Source organism: Homo sapiens, chromosome 4 (assembly GCF_000001405.40).
Source record: "Homo sapiens chromosome 4, GRCh38.p14 Primary Assembly".
Lineage (NCBI taxonomy): Eukaryota > Metazoa > Chordata > Mammalia > Primates > Hominidae > Homo > Homo sapiens.
The window spans coordinates 18719977-18742129 of NC_000004.12; the positions used below are offsets into that span (position 1 = coordinate 18719977).

The 22153-nt window shown below is 35.6% G+C and overlaps 1 long non-coding RNA gene across 3 annotated transcripts in view; it reads left to right on the plus strand.

Moving 5' to 3' along the window:
* LOC105374510 (uncharacterized) overlaps positions 1–22153 on the plus strand; it is a 428164-nt gene that overhangs the window by 308176 nt on the left and 97835 nt on the right. For all 3 annotated transcript variants that reach the window (XR_001741602.2, XR_001741601.2, XR_925445.3), the window contains one exon: positions 18254–18338. This is a non-coding gene — a long non-coding RNA (uncharacterized LOC105374510). The remainder of the gene's footprint in view (positions 1–18253; positions 18339–22153) is intronic.

Genomic DNA, 22153 nt, shown 5'->3' on the forward strand with positions numbered 1-22153 from the left:
CTCTCTTTCTCTATCATCTATCTGTTATCTATCCATTCTGAGAAATGCTGCTGAATGTAATTCATGATCTCAACACACAATTCTAGAGTTTTAGACTTGGGAGGGACTATTGGTAGCTGGCATTTTTCTTTTCATGAAATCTCCTTTTCAGAATTTCCCTCTGAATATGGCCTGAGAAGGACTCTGTACTTCTATATTTGAGTCCTTGTGGACGAACTGCAACCTAGCTTAATAGGTAGACAAGACTGAAAGGCTAATCTAGGAGTATGTGCCTGTAACAATAGCTGAGTCTTGGCAAATCCCAGCAGCCATGCTTCAACCAGTCATACACTGCTGAGTGTTCAAATAGGGCAAACGCTGAGCTGTAACCGATCCAGTTGTTTCTGTACCTTGCCTCCGATTTCTGTATGTCACTTCCCTTTTTTGTCTATAAATTTGTTCTGACCATGAAACATTTCTGGAGTCTCTCTGAATCTGCTGTGATTTGGGGGGCTACCAAATTTGAGAATTGCTCATTGCTCAATTAAACTCCTTTAAATTTAATTCAGCTGAAGTTTTTCTTATAACACCTCTAAAACAGCTCCCTGGTTGGCACAAGCCCTGCTTTATTCCCAGACACCTTGTCAAATGACTGTGAATTGTGTGCTATGAAATTTCCTTCTCAATTTTTCCTTGTTTGAAGATTTACAACATCTTGAGTCCAAACTATCCATGGAAAGAGGCAAGATAGACCGAGAAATTTCCACAGCTAGAGGGATACATAGAGGCTCACTATTTAAGTTCTCTTCAGAGTTCAGAGGAACTAAAGGCTTGGGACTAGGGACACTGGAGATGTTCAAGGCTGTGGCCAATGTACAATATGCAGAATCCCAGAGTTTCAATCCAGTATGAACAACAGCAATTACTTTTTTTAAAAGGCTTTTTCATTTTCTGTGATTTTGCTGATAATACAAATTAAGAATATTTTCTAAAATGAAAATATTTGCAGAAGTTGACAACTGCCAATATGGATATTTAATCAAATATTGCCCCAAATGACATTCAATGTATTTCTTAGTAGGAAGATTCACTTATTAGTTCTGTGACCCAATGATCATCGGTTCATCCAGCCTGCCACCCATCCAGTAACACTTATTGAACAGGAACTTATTTACCAGGAGTACAATTCTGTGCTAGACTTGAGAATGAATGTAATGATGAAGACCTAGTCCATGCCCTTGAGGTCTTTACAGCATACTGGAGCCTAAAATATAGTCATAGAATGGGCTATATTTCGAGGTAAAATGCAGTAAGTATCTTGAGAGAGTTGTGAGAAGGGCACAACTAATTGCCATTGAGGTATGGAGAAAGGAAAATTACTTCTAACTGAGACTCAAGCTGAGGAAAGCAGAAGGCTAATGGAGAAGACAGTTAATTCTGAGAAATAAACTGGATAAACATTCAGAGATAGGACAAATAATGAAGATTGAGGAATTAATTTTATTGAAGGATTTCATGCATGAAGAACGTAATGAGAGGTAAAGGTAGCCAAGTAGCATGGGAACTGATCTTGAAGAGCACTGAATAATAAATACAGAGTTTGGTTATGAAGTAGTGGGGAGTCATTGACTGTTCCATGCATAAAATCTTGGGGAGGAAAATGAGTCAATGAAAACTACTTTCTGAGGGGGGAGTGTTATATGAGCTGAGTATGGAAGTTGAAACAAATGTTGGGAAATGAAGAGTTTGATAAGGTTGGTGTAATGATGCATACATACATGCATACACAAACATTGGAGTGACTAGAATGGGTTGTTTGAGATACAGTTAATTAGAATCATCATGGTGGAAGCCAGGTTAAAGTAAGATGTAAAACAGTGACTAAATGGGCTGGTAATAGTAAATGAAAAAAAACTTGGTAAGTGTTTTAATAAATGTGCTAGTATTTCCCTGTTAGCATCTGCCATGGTGACTACCACATAGTAAGGATTCAATTAGTATTTGTGGAATGAATAAGATAAAGATAGATAAACTTGGTAAGCTACATGTTTTCTCATTGTGGAATTAGCTATAGCTACACTTAACCACATACATAAAACCAGCCATCTGGTTCACTAAGGAAGAAGAAAAACCAAATCTACATGCTTGACAATTTCAAAATGTATATCTAAATTTGGAAATATTTATAGAAATTATGGAAAATTAATATATTGAAGATAAAAAATAAGATTACCTGAGTTTTAATATTTGCTCTTCCTTAGGCAAGTTCTCTAATCTCTCTGTGCCTCGGTTTCCTCCATTCTGTAGAATGGAGATAATAAACTAGGTAGCTTATAGTGATCAATGAGAATTAGGAATTAATACATGAAAAGTGCTTGGAATAGGCTTTGACACATGGTTCACACTATATTAATGTTTGGTCATTATTATTTTCATTACTCAAGAACCTGTTTTGTAGGACTGTGTAATCTGTTTAAATTTGCATTTCATCTTAAAATTTACAAACCATGTTGACACATAATATATTGATTTATTCCTACATCTCTCGTATTCCTTCCATGTTGTCAATAAGGATAATAAAACTGAATATCAAACTCAGATCTTCTGGCAAATAGCCATTTATTTCCAAATGGTCACAGGGTAGCAAACATTGTTTAAGAACTTTGTAAAAATAATCTCATTTAATTGCTATTAAGCAAGAGTAGGAAACAGAGGATCAGAGAGGTTAAATGTCTTACCTAAAGCCACCCAGCTAGCAAGACATTGGAGAAAGAATTTGAAGTCAAGTCTTATGTCTTCAAAGCCTATGCACTTAGTCATCAGACAGAAGTGTCCTAATTTGAAGTGGGAGGAAGAGAGCAGTCACTTGGTAAAGTGAGAAGAAAGGCATCTGTAAGTGTGCTCAGTGAACCAGTGAACCAAGCCTTTTCAGCCTCCCCAGGATCTCAATTAGGAATCCCTGCTGCGGGCTGATGCCTTTCCAAGTTCTAACATGTGAGAGCTAAATTCTTCCCTGTCTTAAATTCTGAAGCCCATCTCTTTGACTCCACTGGCCCTGCTCTGCCTTGGGTCTCAGTAAACAACCATAGCAATAAACCTTTTGTGAAGGTGTAGAGAAGAGCTGCTTTTCATCAGATCACTGTAGGCAGCCTGGGCTGCCAACTTCCCATCAAAGCCTCATAAACCCTTTTATGAGTCCCATAAAATGCTGCCTACTCCAGTTAAAGAAGAGGACAGCCATCAGACCCAACTCATGCTGGCTTCAATTGCTTCATTTCCATATATGAGAGTTTTTGGAAAACCAAAAGCAAGACATAGCTTAATGGTAAATTGGTCTTGGTGTTTCTCTAGTGTTCCTTTACTAGGTCTCCCACACCCCATACCCCATGCTACACAGTGGTGTTTGATGACTCTGGAAAACAATTCTGGGTGGCAGAGTCAGCAGCAAGAACTGCTGGGAACTATGGCTTCCATTCATAGGTGGAAAAATATTAGCTGCAAAGTGGATTCTCTTTTTTCCTCATGTACATTGAAAAAGAAGGAAAGTTCCCTGCAAGTTCTCACAGCTTCTTCACTGTAGCTGGACATAGAATCTCTCCTATTCGCATCCATGTTCCTGGTATGGATTGTGGTTGCCAAAAGGAATGATAACCCCTTTGTTGATTAGTTTCATGGAACATTCCAGTCTCCAAGGTTCTCTCATCAAACTGATTCACATATTCATTAATTTTCTCTACTTTGTTGTAACGAACCAGACAATTTTAGAGTTCAAGGGATGGGAATAAAATTGGAAGACAATTTGCAGGTAATTTAATTCTCCAGTTAGTATTTTTTATCTCACTACGGCATAAACTGCTTTAGGGACAGCATTACTTCTATTTCTTTATCTGCAAGTATTTACTGTTAAGCCCGTTATATATAGAAAGTACAAAACTGTTCAATAAATAATTACGATTACATGCATCAGTCACTATATGCTAAGTTATGCTCTGGTAACAAACAGTACTGGAGGATTACTTCTCATTCTTGCTGCAAGTGGATCTCAGATTGGTTGTTCCATAACATATTTACTCAGAGATCAAGACGTATAAAGCACTCTTTTTCTGTAACATCTCCAGTCTCTTGGCAGAAGGAAAGGAGGACAGTGATGTAAACCGCATGCTGGTTTGAAAGTTTTTGCTTGAAAGTGAGATACCTCATGTACACTCTCATTTCATTTGCCAATTAACATGAAGACTAGGTCTGACTTCAAGGGGATGAGGAATTATAATTCCCTCCTACAATACCACTTTATTAATCTCTTTTATGTTTTGTTAGAATTTAATATTTATTTGAACTAGATATCCCAGGGATGGAATTTAGTGAACACAATTTCATTGTAATTTCGAACAGGTATAATTAATCTGAAACAGGTATATTTTGGGGATTTGAAGTGAAGCCAGTAACAAGACAACAACCAATGTTTATAATTTGGAATAAAAAAGCTTCAATGAGGTTATGTTTTGTGTTTAACATCCCAATACAAGACATCTACAGACTTGTATGAGAAGATTCAACTCTCAGAACAGTGATGCCTATAATATTGGGAAAATCTGTAATCATTAAAATCAGACTCTTATTGTCAACAGCTTGCAGTTACTAAGACAATGCAAGGACTTGATATATTTTAGAAATATTTTCAACAAAAAGTAATTGAAACAAACAAACATAAAGTTAACTAAAATTACAAAAACTTGTTGATGGATATACAATATAAAAGATGTAGATTGTGACATCAGTAACATAAAGTGTGGGAGAGGAGAGGTAAAATGTAGGGATTTGTGTTTAACTGAAGTTAAATTATTCTCAACTTAAAAAATATGCATAAGGTGTTTTATGTAAGCCCCATGGTAACCACGAAGAAAAAGCCTCTAGTAGATACACAAAAGGTAAAGAGAAAGAAATCAAAGCATATTGAGAGGTGAAGCCAGCTGGATTTCCTGGGTTGAGTGGGGACTTGGAGAACTTTTCTGTCTAGCTAAAGGATTGTAAATGCACTAATCAGCACTCTGTAAAAACGCACCAATCAGCGCTCTTGCTTTTGCTCACTCTTTGGGTCTGCACCACCTTTAAGAGCTGTAACACTCACTGCCAAGTTCCGCGGCTTCATTCTTGAAGTCAGCGAGACCACGAACTCACCGGAAGGAAGAAACTCTGGAAACATCTGAAGGAACAAACTCTGGACACACTATCTTTAAGAGCTGTAACACTCACCGCTAAGGTCTGTGGCTTCATTCTTGAAGTCAGCGAGACCAAGAACCCACTGGAAGGAACAAATTCTGGACACATTTTGGTGACCCAGATGGGACGCAATATCACTACACAAATTTAACAACTTACAAAGGAAGACAACAAGATTGGAAAAAAGGAACAAGGGAACAACTAAACAGTCAGTAAGCAATTAATAAAATATCAATAGTAAGCCCTCTTTATTAATAATTACTTTAAATGTAAATGGAATAAATTCTCAACTCAAAAAAAGCAGAATGACTGAATGGATTTTAAAAAATAGATCCAGCAATATGCTGCTGCTATGATTTGAATAATGGTATCCCCTCCAAAATTTATGTTGAAACTTCATCCCCAATGTAACAGTTGTAAAAGATGTGGCCTTTGGGAGGTAATTAAGTCATGAGGACTGTACTCACATTAATGGGGTTATCACCCTTATAAAAGGGCTCGAGATTGAAAGTTGAAGGAAGCTCTCTCTTGTTTTCTACCTCCTTCTACCAAGTGAGGACACTGCATTCTTCCTCTCCAGAAAATGCACCAATAAGTTGCCATCTTGGAAGTAAAGAGCAATGCTCATCAGGCACCAATCCTACCTACACCTTGATCTTGAATTTTTCCAGATTCCAGAATCATCAGAAATAATTTTCTATTGTTTTGAATAAATTACCCAGTATCTGGTATTCTGTTATAGTGGCACAAATGGACTCAATGCCTACTCATTTTAGCCTTAAGGACACACAAAGACTGAGAATAAAGGGATGAAAAAAAGTATTTCATGCAAATGGTAACTGAAACAGACTAGGAGTGGTTATACTTATATTAGAGAAAATAGACATTCAGTCAAAATCTGTCATGAGTAAAAGAAAGTCACTGTATCATGCTATATGGATCAATCAATCAAGGGGATATAATAATTGAAAATCTATATGCATCCAACATTGGATAACCAAAATATATAAAGCAAACATTAATAGAACTAAAGGGAGAAATAGCAACACAAAAATAGTAGGAAACTTCAACACCACATATTCAACAATGTACAAGTTATCTAGACAAAAAAATCAAAATGAAAATATTTGACTTGAACTACACTTTAGACCAAAAGACCTGACAAACATTTACAGAACATTCCATTTAACATTACCAGAATAACATTCTTCCCAATTGCACAGGGAGCATTATCCATAATAGAGTATGTGTTGGATCAAACAAGTCTTAATAAATTTAAAAACATTGAAATCTTTTCTGACAGCAATTGTATAGAAATCAATAATGTACAGAATTTTTAAATGTATATGAATGTGTAGAAATCAAACAGCACATTCCTGAACAGCTAATGGGTCAAAGAAGAAATCAAAAGAGAAAACAAAAAGTATCCTGAGAGAAACAAAATGGAAACTCAACATACCCAAACTTATGAAATGCTGCAAAAGCAGTGCTAAGAAGAAAGTTTTTAACTATAAATGCCTACATTAAGAGAACAGAAACATCCCAAATAAGCAATCTAATATTATACCTTTAAAAAACTAGAGGCCAGTCACGGTGGCTCACACCTGTAATCCCAGCACTTTGGTAGGCTGAGGCAGGTGGATCACCTGAGGTCAGGAGTTCGAGACCAGCCTGGCCAACCAACATGGTGAAACCCGTCTCTACTAAAAATACAAAAAGTTAGCCGGGTGTGGTGGCACACATCTGTAATCCCAGCTACTCTGGAGGCTGGGGCAGGAGAATCGCTCGAACCTGGGAGGGAGAGGTTGCAGTGAGCCGAGATCGCGCCACTGCACTCCAGCCTGGGTGACAGAGTGAGACTCCATCTCAAAACAAACGAACAAACAAAAAACTAGAAAAAGAGTAGCCTAAGCCCAAAGTCAGCAGATGGAAGGAAATAATAATGATCAGAATAAAAATAGATGAAATACAAACTAGTAAAACAATAGAAAAACCAACAAAGCTAAGAGGTTTTTTGTTTGTTTTTTTTTTAAAAAAAGATCAATAAAATTGACGAAGCTTTAGCAAGACTAAGCAAGAAAAAAGAGAGCACTTGAATAAAATTACAAGTGAAAGGGGAGACATTTCAACTGATACTACAGAAATACAAAGAATCATGAACAATATGCCAAGCAATTGGATAACTTAGAAGAAATAAATTTCTAGAAACATACAATCACCCAAACTGAATCATAAAAATTAGAAAATCTCCTGACCAACATGGAGAAACCCCGTCTCTACTAAAAATACAAAATTAGCGGTTGTGGTGGCGCATGCCTGTAATCCCAGCTACTCAGGAGGCTGAGGTAGGATAATAGCTTGAACCTGGGAGGCGGAGGTTGCAGTGAGCCGAGATTGTGCCATTGCACTCCAGCCTGGGCAACAAGAGTGAAACTCTGTCTCAAAAAAAAAAAAAAAAAAAAAAAAAAAAGTAGAAACTCTTAAACAGCCCAACAATGAACGAGAAGATTGAATGAGTAATCAGGCACCTCTGTATGACAACAACCAAAACCCAGGACCAAGTGGCTTCATGAGTCATTTCTATTTAACATCTAAAGAATTAATAATGTCAGTTTTTCTCAATCTCTTTCAAAAAATTGAAGATGATAGAACACTTCCAAATTCATTTTCTGAGGCCAGAATTACCCTCATACCAAAGCCAGATAACGATGCTACAAGAAAAGAAAATGGAGTCCAATAACTCTGATGAGCATAAATGCAAAAATATCATCAACAAAATACTAGTAAAACTGAATTCAACAGCATATCAAAAAGATAATATAGCATGACAAAGTGGGATTTAAAGAATCTTTTAAAAGTATTCTTCCACAAATTATATTTTTAGGAATTTTTTTTTGTCCATCCAGAAGACATTATTCAGAAATAATAAATAACTTTATTTTTGATCAATGAAAGCCTCTGGTCAACATGATAATCTGGATGACTGTGGTCTGTGGACTAAGTCAGTAAACCTACTTTACTGAGTGAGAGGAAGACCTTTTGGAAGCACAGTAATATGGCTAAGTTATTTTTCCTTCATGATATTTATTGAGCATTCATTATGTGTTTTTTTGTAGACAGGATTTTAAGCCTTCCCCTCACTCCTCTTTCGCTGCTGCCAAAGATGGCCTGTCCTAGTTCCTGGAACCTGTAAATACACTGAGATGTTACTCCTGTGATAATATGCTTTAGGGCACAAATGACTTTAAAGTAGGGAGTTTATTCCGACTTATCCATGTAGGTTCAATGTTTTTACATGAGCTCTTAATGTTTTTACAGAGTTTTCTCTGGCTAGTGGTAAGTGAAGAAGTCAGAGAGATATAAAATGTGAGGGGGATGTAATGTTTCATTGCTAGGTCAAAAACAAAATCTCCCGTCCATAGGAGCTGAGATAGGACTCAGCTATAAGCCTACAAGAAAGAAATCTCAGTCCTTCAACTGTAAGGACATGAAATCTGCTGATAGTAAGGTTGAGAGTATAATCTCAGGAGTGAATTCTTTCTCCCAGTCCCCAGAGAAGAACCTCGTTCAGCCAATACCTTGATGTCAGTCTTGTGATACCCTTAGCATAGATTTGGGTGTCTTATGATTTAGGGAACTAAGAGCTAATAAATTGGTATTGTTATAAGCCAGAAATTTGTGCCTATTTGTTATTCAGCAATAGAAAACTATGGGAACCCAATTTCTACATTTATGGAGTTTATATGATAAAGAAGGATACTCAATATGTAGTAGTTGCTTCATGAATATTTTTAAGTGAATGAATAAATTATCTGTTTACTTCACTGTTACTAACAATGGCTAACTCATAATTTTTTCTGTGTGCAGGCATTGTTATAAATGCTTTATATGCATTTAACCATTTAATCATCAAAACCCCATGTAGTAGGTAACTATTATTATTTCTGTTTTAAAGACAAAGACACAGGCATAGGGAGGTTGACAACTTGTTAAACGTTGCAAAGGTAATGAATTCAGAGCTGAGATTTAAGCCTAGATGTCTGGCTTTAGATTCTGAAATATTACCAACTGCTCTAAGTTGCTTAGGAACTATAATAAGTGATAAAAAAGAGAAATAGTGGGTGTCATGTGAGAAGAGATGACCCACGGGCACAGGAAAGGCTTTTGTAAAGATATGAAATTTAGGCAAAGTTTTAAGGGGTGGATTAACTAGAAAAAAAGGCTGCAAAAATATTTCAATAAGAAGAACATGGGGAAACTCTAGTGAAAAGTATGGAAGACTGACATTTCTGTTAGTCAGTGCATACTAGATAAATATATTGTCTTCATCAAACTTTAATATTGAGAAAAGTTTAAGAAAATTCAAAGATCTGGTTATCCCAGATTAGCAACTGCTGAATGATGAACAACAGATACTCTACTGCTTTCTTAACCACATGGAAAAGGAAAAAACAAAATAAAACAAATCAAAACACCTTTTTATTCTCTTAGAACTGGATTTGGAAAAACTACAGCCAATGGGCCAAAACTGGCTGACTCAATGTTTTTGTAAACAAAGTTTTATTGGAACACAGCAACACTCATTTATTTACCTATAGTCTGTGGCTGCTTACACACTAGAAAAGCAGAGTTAAGTAGTTATGGCAGAGAGCATATGACATGCAAAGCCTAAATATTTACTATCTGGATATTTTCAGAAAGCATATGCCAAACTCTGTGTATTAGTTCATTCTCACACTGCTAATAAATACATACCCGAGTCTGGGTAATTTATAAAGAAAAGAGGTTTAATTGACTCACAGTTCCTCGTGGCTGGGGAGGCCTCAGGAAACTTGTAATCGTGGCAGAAGGGAAAGCAAACACATCTTTCTTCACATGGTGGCAGCAAAAAGAAGTGCTGAGCAGAAGGGGGAAAACCCTTTGTAAAACCATCAGATCTTGTGAGAACTAATTCACTATCACAAGAAAAGCGTGAAGATAACCACCCCCATGATTCAAAGACCCCACCAGGTCTTTCCCACAACACATGGGGATTATGGGAACTACAATTCAAGATGAGATTTGGGTGGGGACACAGTCAAACTGTGTCTGGAATTGGTTCCTTCTGGTGGGTTCTTAGTCTTGCTGACTTCAAGAATGAAGCTGCAGACCCTCGTGGTGAGTGTTACAGTTCTTAAAGATGGTGTGTCCAGAGTTTTTCATTCAGATGTTCGAACGTGTCTGGAGTTTCTTCCTTCTGGTGGGTTCGTGGTCTCACTGGCCTCAGGAGTGAAGCTGCAGACCTTTGCAATGAGTGTTACAGCTCTTAATGGTGGCACGTCCAGAGTTGTTCATTCCTCCCGGTGGGTTCGTGGTCTCGCTGGCTTCAGGAGTGAAGCTGCAGACCTTCGCGGTGAGTGTTACAGCTCATAAAGGTAGTGCGGACCCAAAGAGTGAGAAGCAGCAAGATTTATTGTGAAGAGCGAAAGAACAAAGCTTCCACAGCGTGGAAGGGGACCGAAGTGGGTTGCCGCTGCTGGCATGGGTGGCCACCTTTTATTCCCTTATTTGTCCCTGCCCATGTCCTGCTGATTGGTCCATTTTACAGAGTGCTGATAAGTCCATTTTACAGCGTGCTGATTCGTGCATTTACAAACCTTTAGCTAGATATAGAGAGCTGATTGGTGCATTTTTACAGAGTGCTGATTGGTGCGTTTACAATCCTTTAGCTAGACAGAAGAGTTCTCCAAGTCCTCACTGGACCCAAAGGCCCAGCTAGCTTCACCTGTCAAAACCATATCACTCTCATAGAGCAAAGGTGCTAATATTTAAAAAATATTATTTTTTGTTTAATTACATGCCACAATATTAATTTTTAGTTCCAGGAGTAACATCCATACCTATTTTGTTGACTTTGGAAAATCTGAAGGAGCTGGCAGTTAAATTCCTGTTGGCATAGAGATTATCTGGATGAGTGTGGTCTGTGGTCTGATAAGTCAGTGCACCTGCTTTACTGAGTAAGAGGAAGGCCCTGTGGAAGCCCAGTATTATGGCTAATATATTTTTATTCAAAAATGAAAATGCTTAAAAATTGTAGGAGGTTCAATTTCTGCTGGACAGAAATTCCTGTGACAAATAAACTATTTGTGACAAACTATATTCCTGTGACAAATAAACTAACATATTTATAAAACAGCATGAAAACCAACCTAAAATATATATATCATTAATTTTTACACCACTATATATGGATTTCAGCATAAATTAGAAGATATACATCAAGGCAATCAGAGTTCATTGCTAATGTTTATCTCTAAAACACTTTTTTTAATTCATAAGTGTTTAGATAATTTTAAAAACATTTCACATTTTTAGATCCTCTTAAGGAATCAAGGACTGAGAACTTTGAATTCTTTAAAATATAAATATCATAACTTTGCCACATGGCTTTTTCTGTAGTATTGAAAACAGAAAACTAATAAATGTAGAGTCTTTTTTAAAAACTTTGTATGAAAGTAAGACCTGTGCACAGAAAAATGTACATGTCATGTACTCAGCTCAATGTATTCTCACAGATTAAATACGTATGTCAAAAAGCAGAAACTCACCACCCTTAGAAGGCCCCAGATTTTTCTTTTGAGTAAAAACTCATCCACAAGTCTGACCCCATCCTCATTTCAAACCCCACACGTTAGCTTTGCCTGATTGTAATATTTACTCTTTTGTGTCTTTTGGTAAACTTGATGCTTGTGAAATTCATTCATGCTGTTATGTATAGTGGTGTTTTGTTATTATCATGGGTATAAGGCATTTCATTGTGTAAACATATAATTTTTGCTTATTCTACTGTTGAGGGGTCTTGGATCATTTCCAGATAGAGGCTACTATGAATAGCATGATAGTGAATATTTGATTATATGGCTGTTGTTGAATATACATACATATATATTTATGTGTATATATATAGATATGCACATACATGTGTATGTATATATAGATATATGCATACATACATATGTGTATATGCGTATATATATGCATACATAGATGTAAATGTATATATCATAGATATATATGAATGCATATGTATATACACACATACACATATATGTATGTATATTCACTATATATATTCAACAACACACATATATATCTCTCTTTTTAAATGTAATATTTTATAAATATAATCTCTATTTGTTGAACCTCTGTAAAATGACTTATCTGCCTTTAATGTATTATTTCTTGCCCATAATATAAGAAATTAATTTACTTGAAATTATTCTCAATAATCTAAAAAATTCATTGTCACATCATCACTAAATATTATATTTGGGAGAATTTTGGAGTTTATCTCCAGGAATAATTTGATGTATGTGTCACTTCTCTAATATTATCAACCAAGTAATAAACCAGCTTCAGTTTAATTATCTCTAGGTAAAAGAAATGTATTTCCTGAAAAGGAAGCTACTTTGATTTTTACAAAGTTGTAATTTTAAAAAATACTATCATTTATATATGAAGCTGAAATATAGCTACCACAACCTTACCTCTTTGATACTAGTTTTCTTTTAAAAAAGATATGGATTTGAACTTAATTCTTCTTCTGCATGGTGATCTTTTAGGTATTGCAACAAAAAAAGTCATTGTGCCTCTAATAAAAGCCACTTTTCCCATTTTTAGTATTAGTAATTGTTTCTCAATTCTTTACCATCATGTAAACATTATATTAATATAGTCTCATCTGTTACGATTCCTTTGAAATGTTGATACTTATTAAATTTTAGAAGAAGACTGGAAAATAGAAACAAAAATAATCAACAAATGTTATTTCTGGATACTAGGGAATTCAATATTTGAAATAATTTTTTTCAGGATTTCATAAAGAAACTTAGCACTGTTTGTAAAAACAAACAAAAAAAGTCATTAAAAAGCATGGTGTCCAAAACTGAGGAAAACCCCCTGGAGAATCGCTAATTCAGTACAGAATGGAGCACAGCTATTTCCTCATATACTGAACATAATTTTTCTATGAATAATATTTAATTATTTTAGTTATGTTTTGCAACCACATTTGATTATTATTTCATACGTGTGATATGGTCAATCAAAATCTTACAGTAGCTTTCACTTATTCATTCGAATAATTATTTAGTAAACATCTATTGTCCAATACATATGAGTGCTTTAGTCCCTGCTGTCAATGACCATTCAGCTGGTGAAGGAGATAGATTTGTAAACTCCAGTTACAAAATGTATGATAACAGCTGCAAAACAGGTAACCAAAGCATGGCACTTAAAACAAGCATCTTAACCCATTTTGGAGACTTGTTTCGTGGGATACCAAGCCCTGGAATGAAGATGGACAAGGCTTCTAAAGAAGGGAACCAAAACAGGGAAGAGTGTGAGTGTAATGTGGTTCTAGAAGAGAGCTAGTGACTTGGAGATGAGTATAGAGAGGAGGCTGAATAGTAGACCAAAGGCCGGGTTCTTAAAGGCTGACTGAAAACTGTCCTGCATTCAACAGGGCATTGGCAGGACATTAGGTAGGAGAGTAACACGATCAGATTGGGTGTATCTAAAACCTCATTATAGATGCATGTTGCTCCATCATTCAGTCATTTTCACAGGACTGGATATTTATCCTTAACAGTTTCAATTTAAATGAAAGTTTTATCACTGAATAAATAGCACCTCTGTAGTCAACATATAGTTTATCTTTAATGGTCAGGGACAAAATTACTAAAAAGATATTTCTTAAACCAAAATTTTGAAATTTTCATTTTTCCTGGCTCCTTTATAGATGTTAACTTCAGACTTCAAATATTTACTTAATTTTACTGGTGTTGGTGGATTTACTATCTTTGAAAACCAAGTGTGACATAATATTTCATATTAATAATACTGTCTGAGCTTGGTTTCTCTGACTTTTGGATACTCGTTGGAATATAAAGACTATCTTCTGGAAGTGAGACAAGACCTTCACAGCTGTGCTTGCGTTAAGTGGCTTCAGTCCAAAAATAATCATGTTCTTGTATTACCATGGAATACAAGGAAAGGGCACTGGGCTTTCCTTTGTGTTCAACATCAATTTTGGGATCTACAAAATTTAGTATGCCAAGTTTGTCATCAAATCCTTGAAACTCAGGAGAGAGAATGCAGTTTGAGGTTATTTTTGCAGAAATAGAACTTTTTATTAATGTTGGAAAATAGCCACATTAGTTCAAGAAAGAGTGGGAAAGCAGCACAGTGTCTCTTTCAGTTTGAAACAACATGCAATCTCTTCCTAAGTGCTTTATTTCAAAGAGCTAAAACTGTACAGTGTTAAGCAGCCTGAAAAAATCAGCTTCAGAGTGAGGACAAATAATTGAATGATGTCTTTCTTCTAAAAGACGTCAGGCTTTTTGCCCGCTGCTCTTTGACATTTATCAAATCCTGCTCTTTAATGTCTGTCAAATTGTCCAGGTGATAAGCACAGAACTTGTTCTGGCCAATGGCCCTGTGCCTGCATTTTCAAATTTGGTATGGTTGGCTTGGGTTTCTTAGTTCAGCTCAGCAGGCTGCCACTGGAGTGAGTAAAGAGAGACTGTGCCCTCACAGAACCTTGCATTAAAAATTACCTTCAGCTTTCAAACCAGATCAGCCAACCTATACATGAGGCTGTTGGTGCATGAAATAAGAGAACCTTGAATTACCAAGCCCATCCAAAAATCTTGTCTGGTTGACACCTGTCTTTTATTGCTGCAGTTACTGTGTGTTAAGAGTTGAATTGTGTGCCTCCCTAATCCCCACTTCCTGGATGTTGAAGTCAAATTTCACTATCTCAGAATAACACCTTATCTGGAAATAGGTTTGTTACAGATGTAATTAGTTAAGATGAAGACATACTGGAGTAGGATGAACTCTTTATCCCAATATAACTGTGTCCTTCTAAAATGGAGAAATGTCAACACTGAGACACGCACCCAGGAAGAGAACTCCATGAAAAATCTTCTTTAATGCTATCAGAGGGAGTTCAGTCCCGCTAATACCTTGATCTTGGACGTCTAGCCTCCAGAACTGTGAGAAAATACATTTCTGTAATTGAAGCCACCCACTTTGTTGTACTTGGTTACATCAGTCCTAAACTAATATACTCTGCTTACTGTACTATCTCCTGGGTTTTAAAAAAAAATTTGGTTTTAGCTTTGTTTTATGAGCATGCCCATTGAAATAAAAGTAAACTTGACATCTTGGTACCTTGGCCTGAAAAGCAGTCTGGATTTCCTCTCCAGGTGGTTCTGCCTTGAGCTGTTCTACTACTACTACTACTATTATTATTATTGATTATTTTTTTTGAGGTGGATTCTTGCTCTGTCACCCAGGCTGGAGTACAGTGGTGCAATCTCAGCTCACTGCAACCTCCGCCTCCTGGGTTCAAGCGATTCTTCTGTCTCAGCCTCCCAAGTAGCTGGGATTACAGCCATGCTCAACCATGCCCAGCTAATTTTTATATTTTTAGTGGAGATGGGGTTTTGCCATGGAGCTGTTCTATTATAATTGCTATTATAATTGCCAAAGAGCTGTTCTTTGTAATAGGGCTGTTCTATTATAATTGCTTCTTTTAATATAATCCATGACTGGCACCCAGACTCAGTATCAACCAGCTTAGTGGCACACTTGCCATTTGTTCTAGAAGTTCTGTGGAAGTGATTATATACTCTCCAAAGTCCAGCAATATGCCACAGCAGCAGACCTTTCCTCATTCCAGGCTAGAAAGGCCATGTTAAAAAGTACTTTTGGCATAGCCCTGAAGTTACTTATAGCTGCCAAACTAGTGTCATAATTCATTTTTAGTACATTGGCTCATATACTATCTTTAACTCCGAAAATAAAATTTACCAAGTGAAATGTTAGAAGTATGTTAGAAGTGGCATTAGAACCATCAAGGTAATTTAAGATGAGCTTAGCCTTATCTTAATTTGAAGGAAATCAGGTTACCAGCTTACAATCTTTCAAAACTCTTTATGTTGTACATTCAACAGACATGTTGAACGTTAACCATGTGCAGCATGCTCTGTAGAATATATAAAAGTGAATTTTTAAACAGTGAGCGTCTCTCAATGTCCAACTTAATAAATATTTATTAAGTGAGAATAAGTTAGGAATATTAACTCATTCAATAATTGATTATTTGAAACTCACTATGTGCCTGGCCCTATGCTGTGTCTTATAGATACAGTCATTCTGCTATCAAAAACATTTCATTGTGGGGAAAGACCTTTTTTAGGTTCTCAAGGAACATGTACTCTAAAAGAGAGATAAGATAAATGGAAAAATAACTATATTAAAATCAAATGTGAATAAAAAGGCCTGAATGCTAGAGAATTAGTCAAGATTCACCAATAAGATATATATACATAGAGAACATACCTAGGATATATCTATATATAATATAGGGGATATATATAATACATATAGAATGCACACACACATATACATACACACCTACACATAGAGCCAGAGAGAGAAAGAGAGTTTGATACACAAAGTGAGAGAGAGAGAGAGATTGATTTATCCTGAGGAATTGGCTAATGCAATTACAGAGGCTGAGAAGTCCCAGGATCTGTAGCCCAAAGGCCCAAGAACCAAGAGAGATAATGGTGTAGGTTTCAGTCTAGGTCCAAAAACAGAAAAAGGCTGATATCTCAGCTCAAGACCATTAGGCAGAGAAAGTGAATTATCTCTTACTTAGCTTTTTACTCTACTCAGGCCTTCAACAGATTGGACCAGGCCCACAAACATTGGGGAGTGCCAACTCCTCAACTAAGTCTATCTATGCAAATGTTAATCTCATCTAGAAACATCCATACAGGCACACCAAAAATAATGTTATTCTAAATATCTGGGCACCTCATGACCCAGTTAAGTTGACACATAAAGTAAACAATCATAACTTCACCCCTTGTCAAATTTGCATTCATCTACATCTTCATTCATTCATATACATCTATATTTATATTTATTCATTCATATACATCTATACTTTATTCATATACATCTATACTTAATCTACAAATAAAGGTAATTACAAAATCATAATTTCACTTTACATGATATGACTATCCTAGTACAACCAAAAATGCACTAGCTCCTTCTAGAAGAAAAAAAGAAATAAAATCTTTGAGTGGTATTTACTCTTCCACTTGGTATTCTGTAACTAAATACTATTATGTATAACAATACTGAAACTATGATGTGATGTTAATATTGTATGCTATATGAGAAATGAATAACAGTGGGAAGAAAACAGATATTTGCTGTATATATATATACATATAATGATGTAAGGAAAAACACTCATGACAATTATAGTTCTTAATTCTGTAACTATTCATGTGGTCATAGCTGGTAATTATAATTACCTTTTTCTACCACCCACCCTGAATTTCCTTTGCCTTTAGCAAGCACCGTAGCTGGTTGGTCTTTAACCTGTTGGAAATTCATTAGCAGGATGATTACTCCTCATTAATCCTGGCTAAATTGGGTTGTTGTAGCTCTTTATTGACCTTCATCTCAGAACATGATAATACTAAGAAATCTCCTGTATTCTAGACATACTCTTCCTTACCTCCATTATGAAGTGACATTCCAATTTCCCTTTGGTAGTCAGTCAGTCACCCCAGCCAGCACAATAACTCTCTTTTTTGCTGTTGATTCAGATGCATAATGAGCCTGATGGCTGGGTGGCAATCTTAATTTCTAGTTCAATGAAATCATTGTGTGTCTCCTGGTGGAAGCATTCGTCCTTCTAGAACTAACACTTCTAGGCCAGCCAGCATTACATATAATTGTGGGAAGAGTAAACAAAAATTTTGCTAGTGGGTCACTAGAAATAATAGTGAGTGATGTCAGTCCCATTTCCATCCCTTGATTCCTAGACCCATGAATCCTGGCTATTGGAGAAACAGTACCAGATATTGGATACTGATTCAGAGCAAATACAGCCTTCTGGATAACTGTCTTCGTTCATTTTTATTGTTATAACAGAATATCTAAGACTAAGTAATTTATAAAGAACCAAATTTATTTCTTACAGTTCCAGAGGCTGCGAGGTCTGAGATCAAGGATCTGACACCTGGTGAGGGCCTTTTTGCTGCATCATTTCACATAGAGACAAAAAGGTAAGAGAAAGACAGCGTGAAAGAGGGGGTGAATTCATTCCCATGAAAACAGAATTAGTTCATTTATGAGGCTACAAACCTTCAGAGCTAAACACCTCTTAAATGTCCCACCTCCCAATAGCCTCACAATGGCAATGAAATTTCCACATGAGTTTTGGAGGAGACAAACTTTCAAGCCAGGGTATTCTAACTTACAAACTTTCAAACCAGGGTATTCTAACCTTGGTCCCTCAAAAGTCATGTCCTTCTTATGTACAACGTATGTTTATTCCATCCCAAAGCCTCAAAAATCTTATCATATTCTAACATTGACTCAAAATTCCAAAATCCAAAGTCTTATCTAAATGACATGGATAAAATTCAAGGTACAATTCATCCTGAAGCAAATTTCTCTGCAGCTCTGAGCCTGTGAAATCAAAACATGTTATCTATTTCCAAAATGCAATGGTGAAGTAGGCATAGAATAAACATTCCAATTTAAAAGGCAGAAATAGCAGGCAAGAAGAAAGAGATAACTGGCCCCAAGTAAGTCCAAACTCCAACAGAACAAACAACATTAAATCATAAGACTCTAAAATAATCTTTCTTGGTTCCATGTCTACCCTCCCAGACACACTGGGGTGGGATTGGATCCCTAAGGCCCCAAGGCAGCCCAGCTCCTGTGACTTTAATGGGAACAGCCTACACAGCAGCTTTTGTGGTAGACAGCTGTGTGTCTCATACCTGCAGCTCTCCTAGGCTAGAGTTACATGTTGGTGTATCTCTATTTCTATATCATGTCATGGATTATCAGGGCTTTCTTTACTACTAATAGTAGAGTCATTACTATCTTTAAATCTAGTCAGATTAGAGACCCAATTTCAGAAAATCTGGAACCAATTTAGGAAACTTATTCCTAATATTCTGTTCCACTAGAACCACTCCTGGTACAAAGAGGATATATATATCCTATTAGTTTATTGAGGAATAAAGCATTGCAGTGGGAATACTCATATCATAGTAAACCATGTGCATATTCAGGAATGTAAAGGGAGACAAAGGTTTTTAAAGTAAAAACAAAGAGGTTTATATGATTGTCTTGAAATGATTATCCTTGGCTACAAATATCAATAACAAGGATATATTTATCCTATTGTTCTGGAGAATCCTGAATAACACAGGTTTTGGTACCAAGAGTGGTTCTAGAGGAACAGAATATTTAAAATAACAGTATATATTATATTAAGATAGTATATATAATAGTAATATAGTGTAAATAATATTAATAAAATATATAATATTAATTAAATATATTAATATATTAAGGATACACATACACACACACACACACACACACACACATGAATTTATATTATGAGGAATTAGCTCACATGCTAATGGAGGCTGAGAAGTCCCATGTTCTGCCATCTGCAAGCTGGAGACCCAGGAAACAGGAAAGCCAATGTTGTAATTCTGGTCCATGTCAAAAAGCATGAGGATCAGGGAAGATAACAGTGTAGATACCAGTCCAAGGGCAAGAGAAATGATATTTCAGCTCAAGTAGGCATACTGGAAGAAAAAGGGGCAGATTTCTGCTCTTCAACCTTTTTGTTCTATTCAGGCCCACGGTGGACCAATGATACCTACCTACATAGCAGAGGACAATCTACTTTAATGAATCCATTGATTCAAATGCTAATCTCATGAACACGCGGAGAAATTGTATTTAATCTGGGTACCCCATGGTACAGTCAAGTTGAAATATAAAATTAACCATTACAATGTATATATGACAATTTCTTATAATCATTGTGTGTCTACGTATATATACATATATATACACTGTCTGTGTAAATATATGTCCTGCATACATATATATATTCTCTCTGTATATATATCTATATATGTATACAGAATATATACACATATATATACACATATTCTGAGAATATATATGTATAAAGAGAATATAGATATTGTGTAGATATATGTACAGAGAGAATAGGTATATAGAATATATAGGTATATATGTGGACATTGAGTGTATATATATATACATATATGCTTATATATAGTCATGAGTCACTTAATAATGTTCCAATAAATGTGTCATTAGGCAATGTAGTCATTGTGTGAACATCATAGAGTGTTCTTCCACAAACTTATGAATATGGTATAGCCTATTGCTCCTAGGCTACAAATCTGTACAGCACATTACTATATTAAATACTTAGGCAATTGTAAGATAATAGTGAGCATCTGCATATATAAACATAGAAAGGGTACAATAAATATAAAAGATAAAAAATGGTGCATCTGTATTGGGCACATGCTATGAATGGAGTTTGTAGAACTAGAAGTCATTCTGATGAGTCAATGTGTGAGTGATAAGTGAATGAAGGCCTAGGACATTGCTATACACTTGCAGCTACACTTAGGCTACATTAGATTAAAAATAATTTTCTTTATCCAATAATAAATTTACCTTAGCTTATTTAACTTTTTTTACCTTATAAGCTTTTTACCTATTTTAACACTTAACTATTTTAACATTTAACTATTTTAACATTTTAACTCTTTTGTAATAACATTTAACTATTTTTAACTACGTTAACATTTTAACTCTTGTAATAACAGGTTAAAATGCAAATACATTATACAGCTTTAGAAAATATTTTCTTTCTTTATATCCTTATTCTATGAGCTTTTTTTCTATTTTTCTATTTTCTCTATTTTTTACTTTTTAAACTTTTTTATTAAAAAAAAGACACAAACACACACATTATCCTAGGCCTACACAGGGTCAGGATCACTGAGATGTCACTAGGTGATTGAGGTTTTTCAGCTCCGTTATAATCTTGTGGGAACACTGTCACATATCTGGTCCATTGTTGACCAAAATATCAATATAGTGTATGACTATGTGCACACACACATACACACACACAAAGTATATAATTATATATGTGTGTATGCATATAAACACACACAGATAATATATGTATATATAGAGAGCACATAAGCATATACACACAGAGTATATAGCATATATATACACATACATATATATACATACACTATATATACATACGCACACACAGACACACACACACACACACACATAGACTGATTTGTTATAGGGAATTGGTCTATCCTCACTAGGGAGAACAATATGCTTTACTTAGTCTACTAAGTCAAATGTTAATATTATCCAGAAACATCCTCACAGACACATCCAGAATAATGTTTAACCAAATATCTGGGCACCTTATGGTCCAGGCAAGCTGACACATAAAATTAACCATCACACAGAGTTAGCCTGGAAAAATATCTAAAATGAAAAATACTTATTTTTTTCAAGATTCACATTTCTCTTTATGTTGAGGAAGATAATTGCCGGTAATGATTTATCTAACAAGCAATAGCATACAAAGGTAGGAACTGAATCGGCAGCATGAAGTCCTGAGTTCTAGTTTTTGCTGTGCTGCCAACATTCTGTGTATTTATGGATAAACATGCTCTCTGTCTCTCAGCATTATTTTTATCATCTTTGGAATCTGGTTAATTGGCCTGGATGATCATTAACTTTCCATTATTTTTGAGATATCTTACAAAATTAGCTCAATTGGAGCAAGAGGCCAATGATGTACACATTTCAGATTTTCTCCGACTGGATGCTGGCCTGCTGCTATTGTCTGTACAAGGCTCAAACATCTCCAATAACATGAATTATTGATGAAATAGCTAGTAATAATAGAGAACTTTCATATCAGATGCAATGTTATGAATCTTACTATTTCTATCATGTGATTTTTTTCACTACAAATCCAGGACAT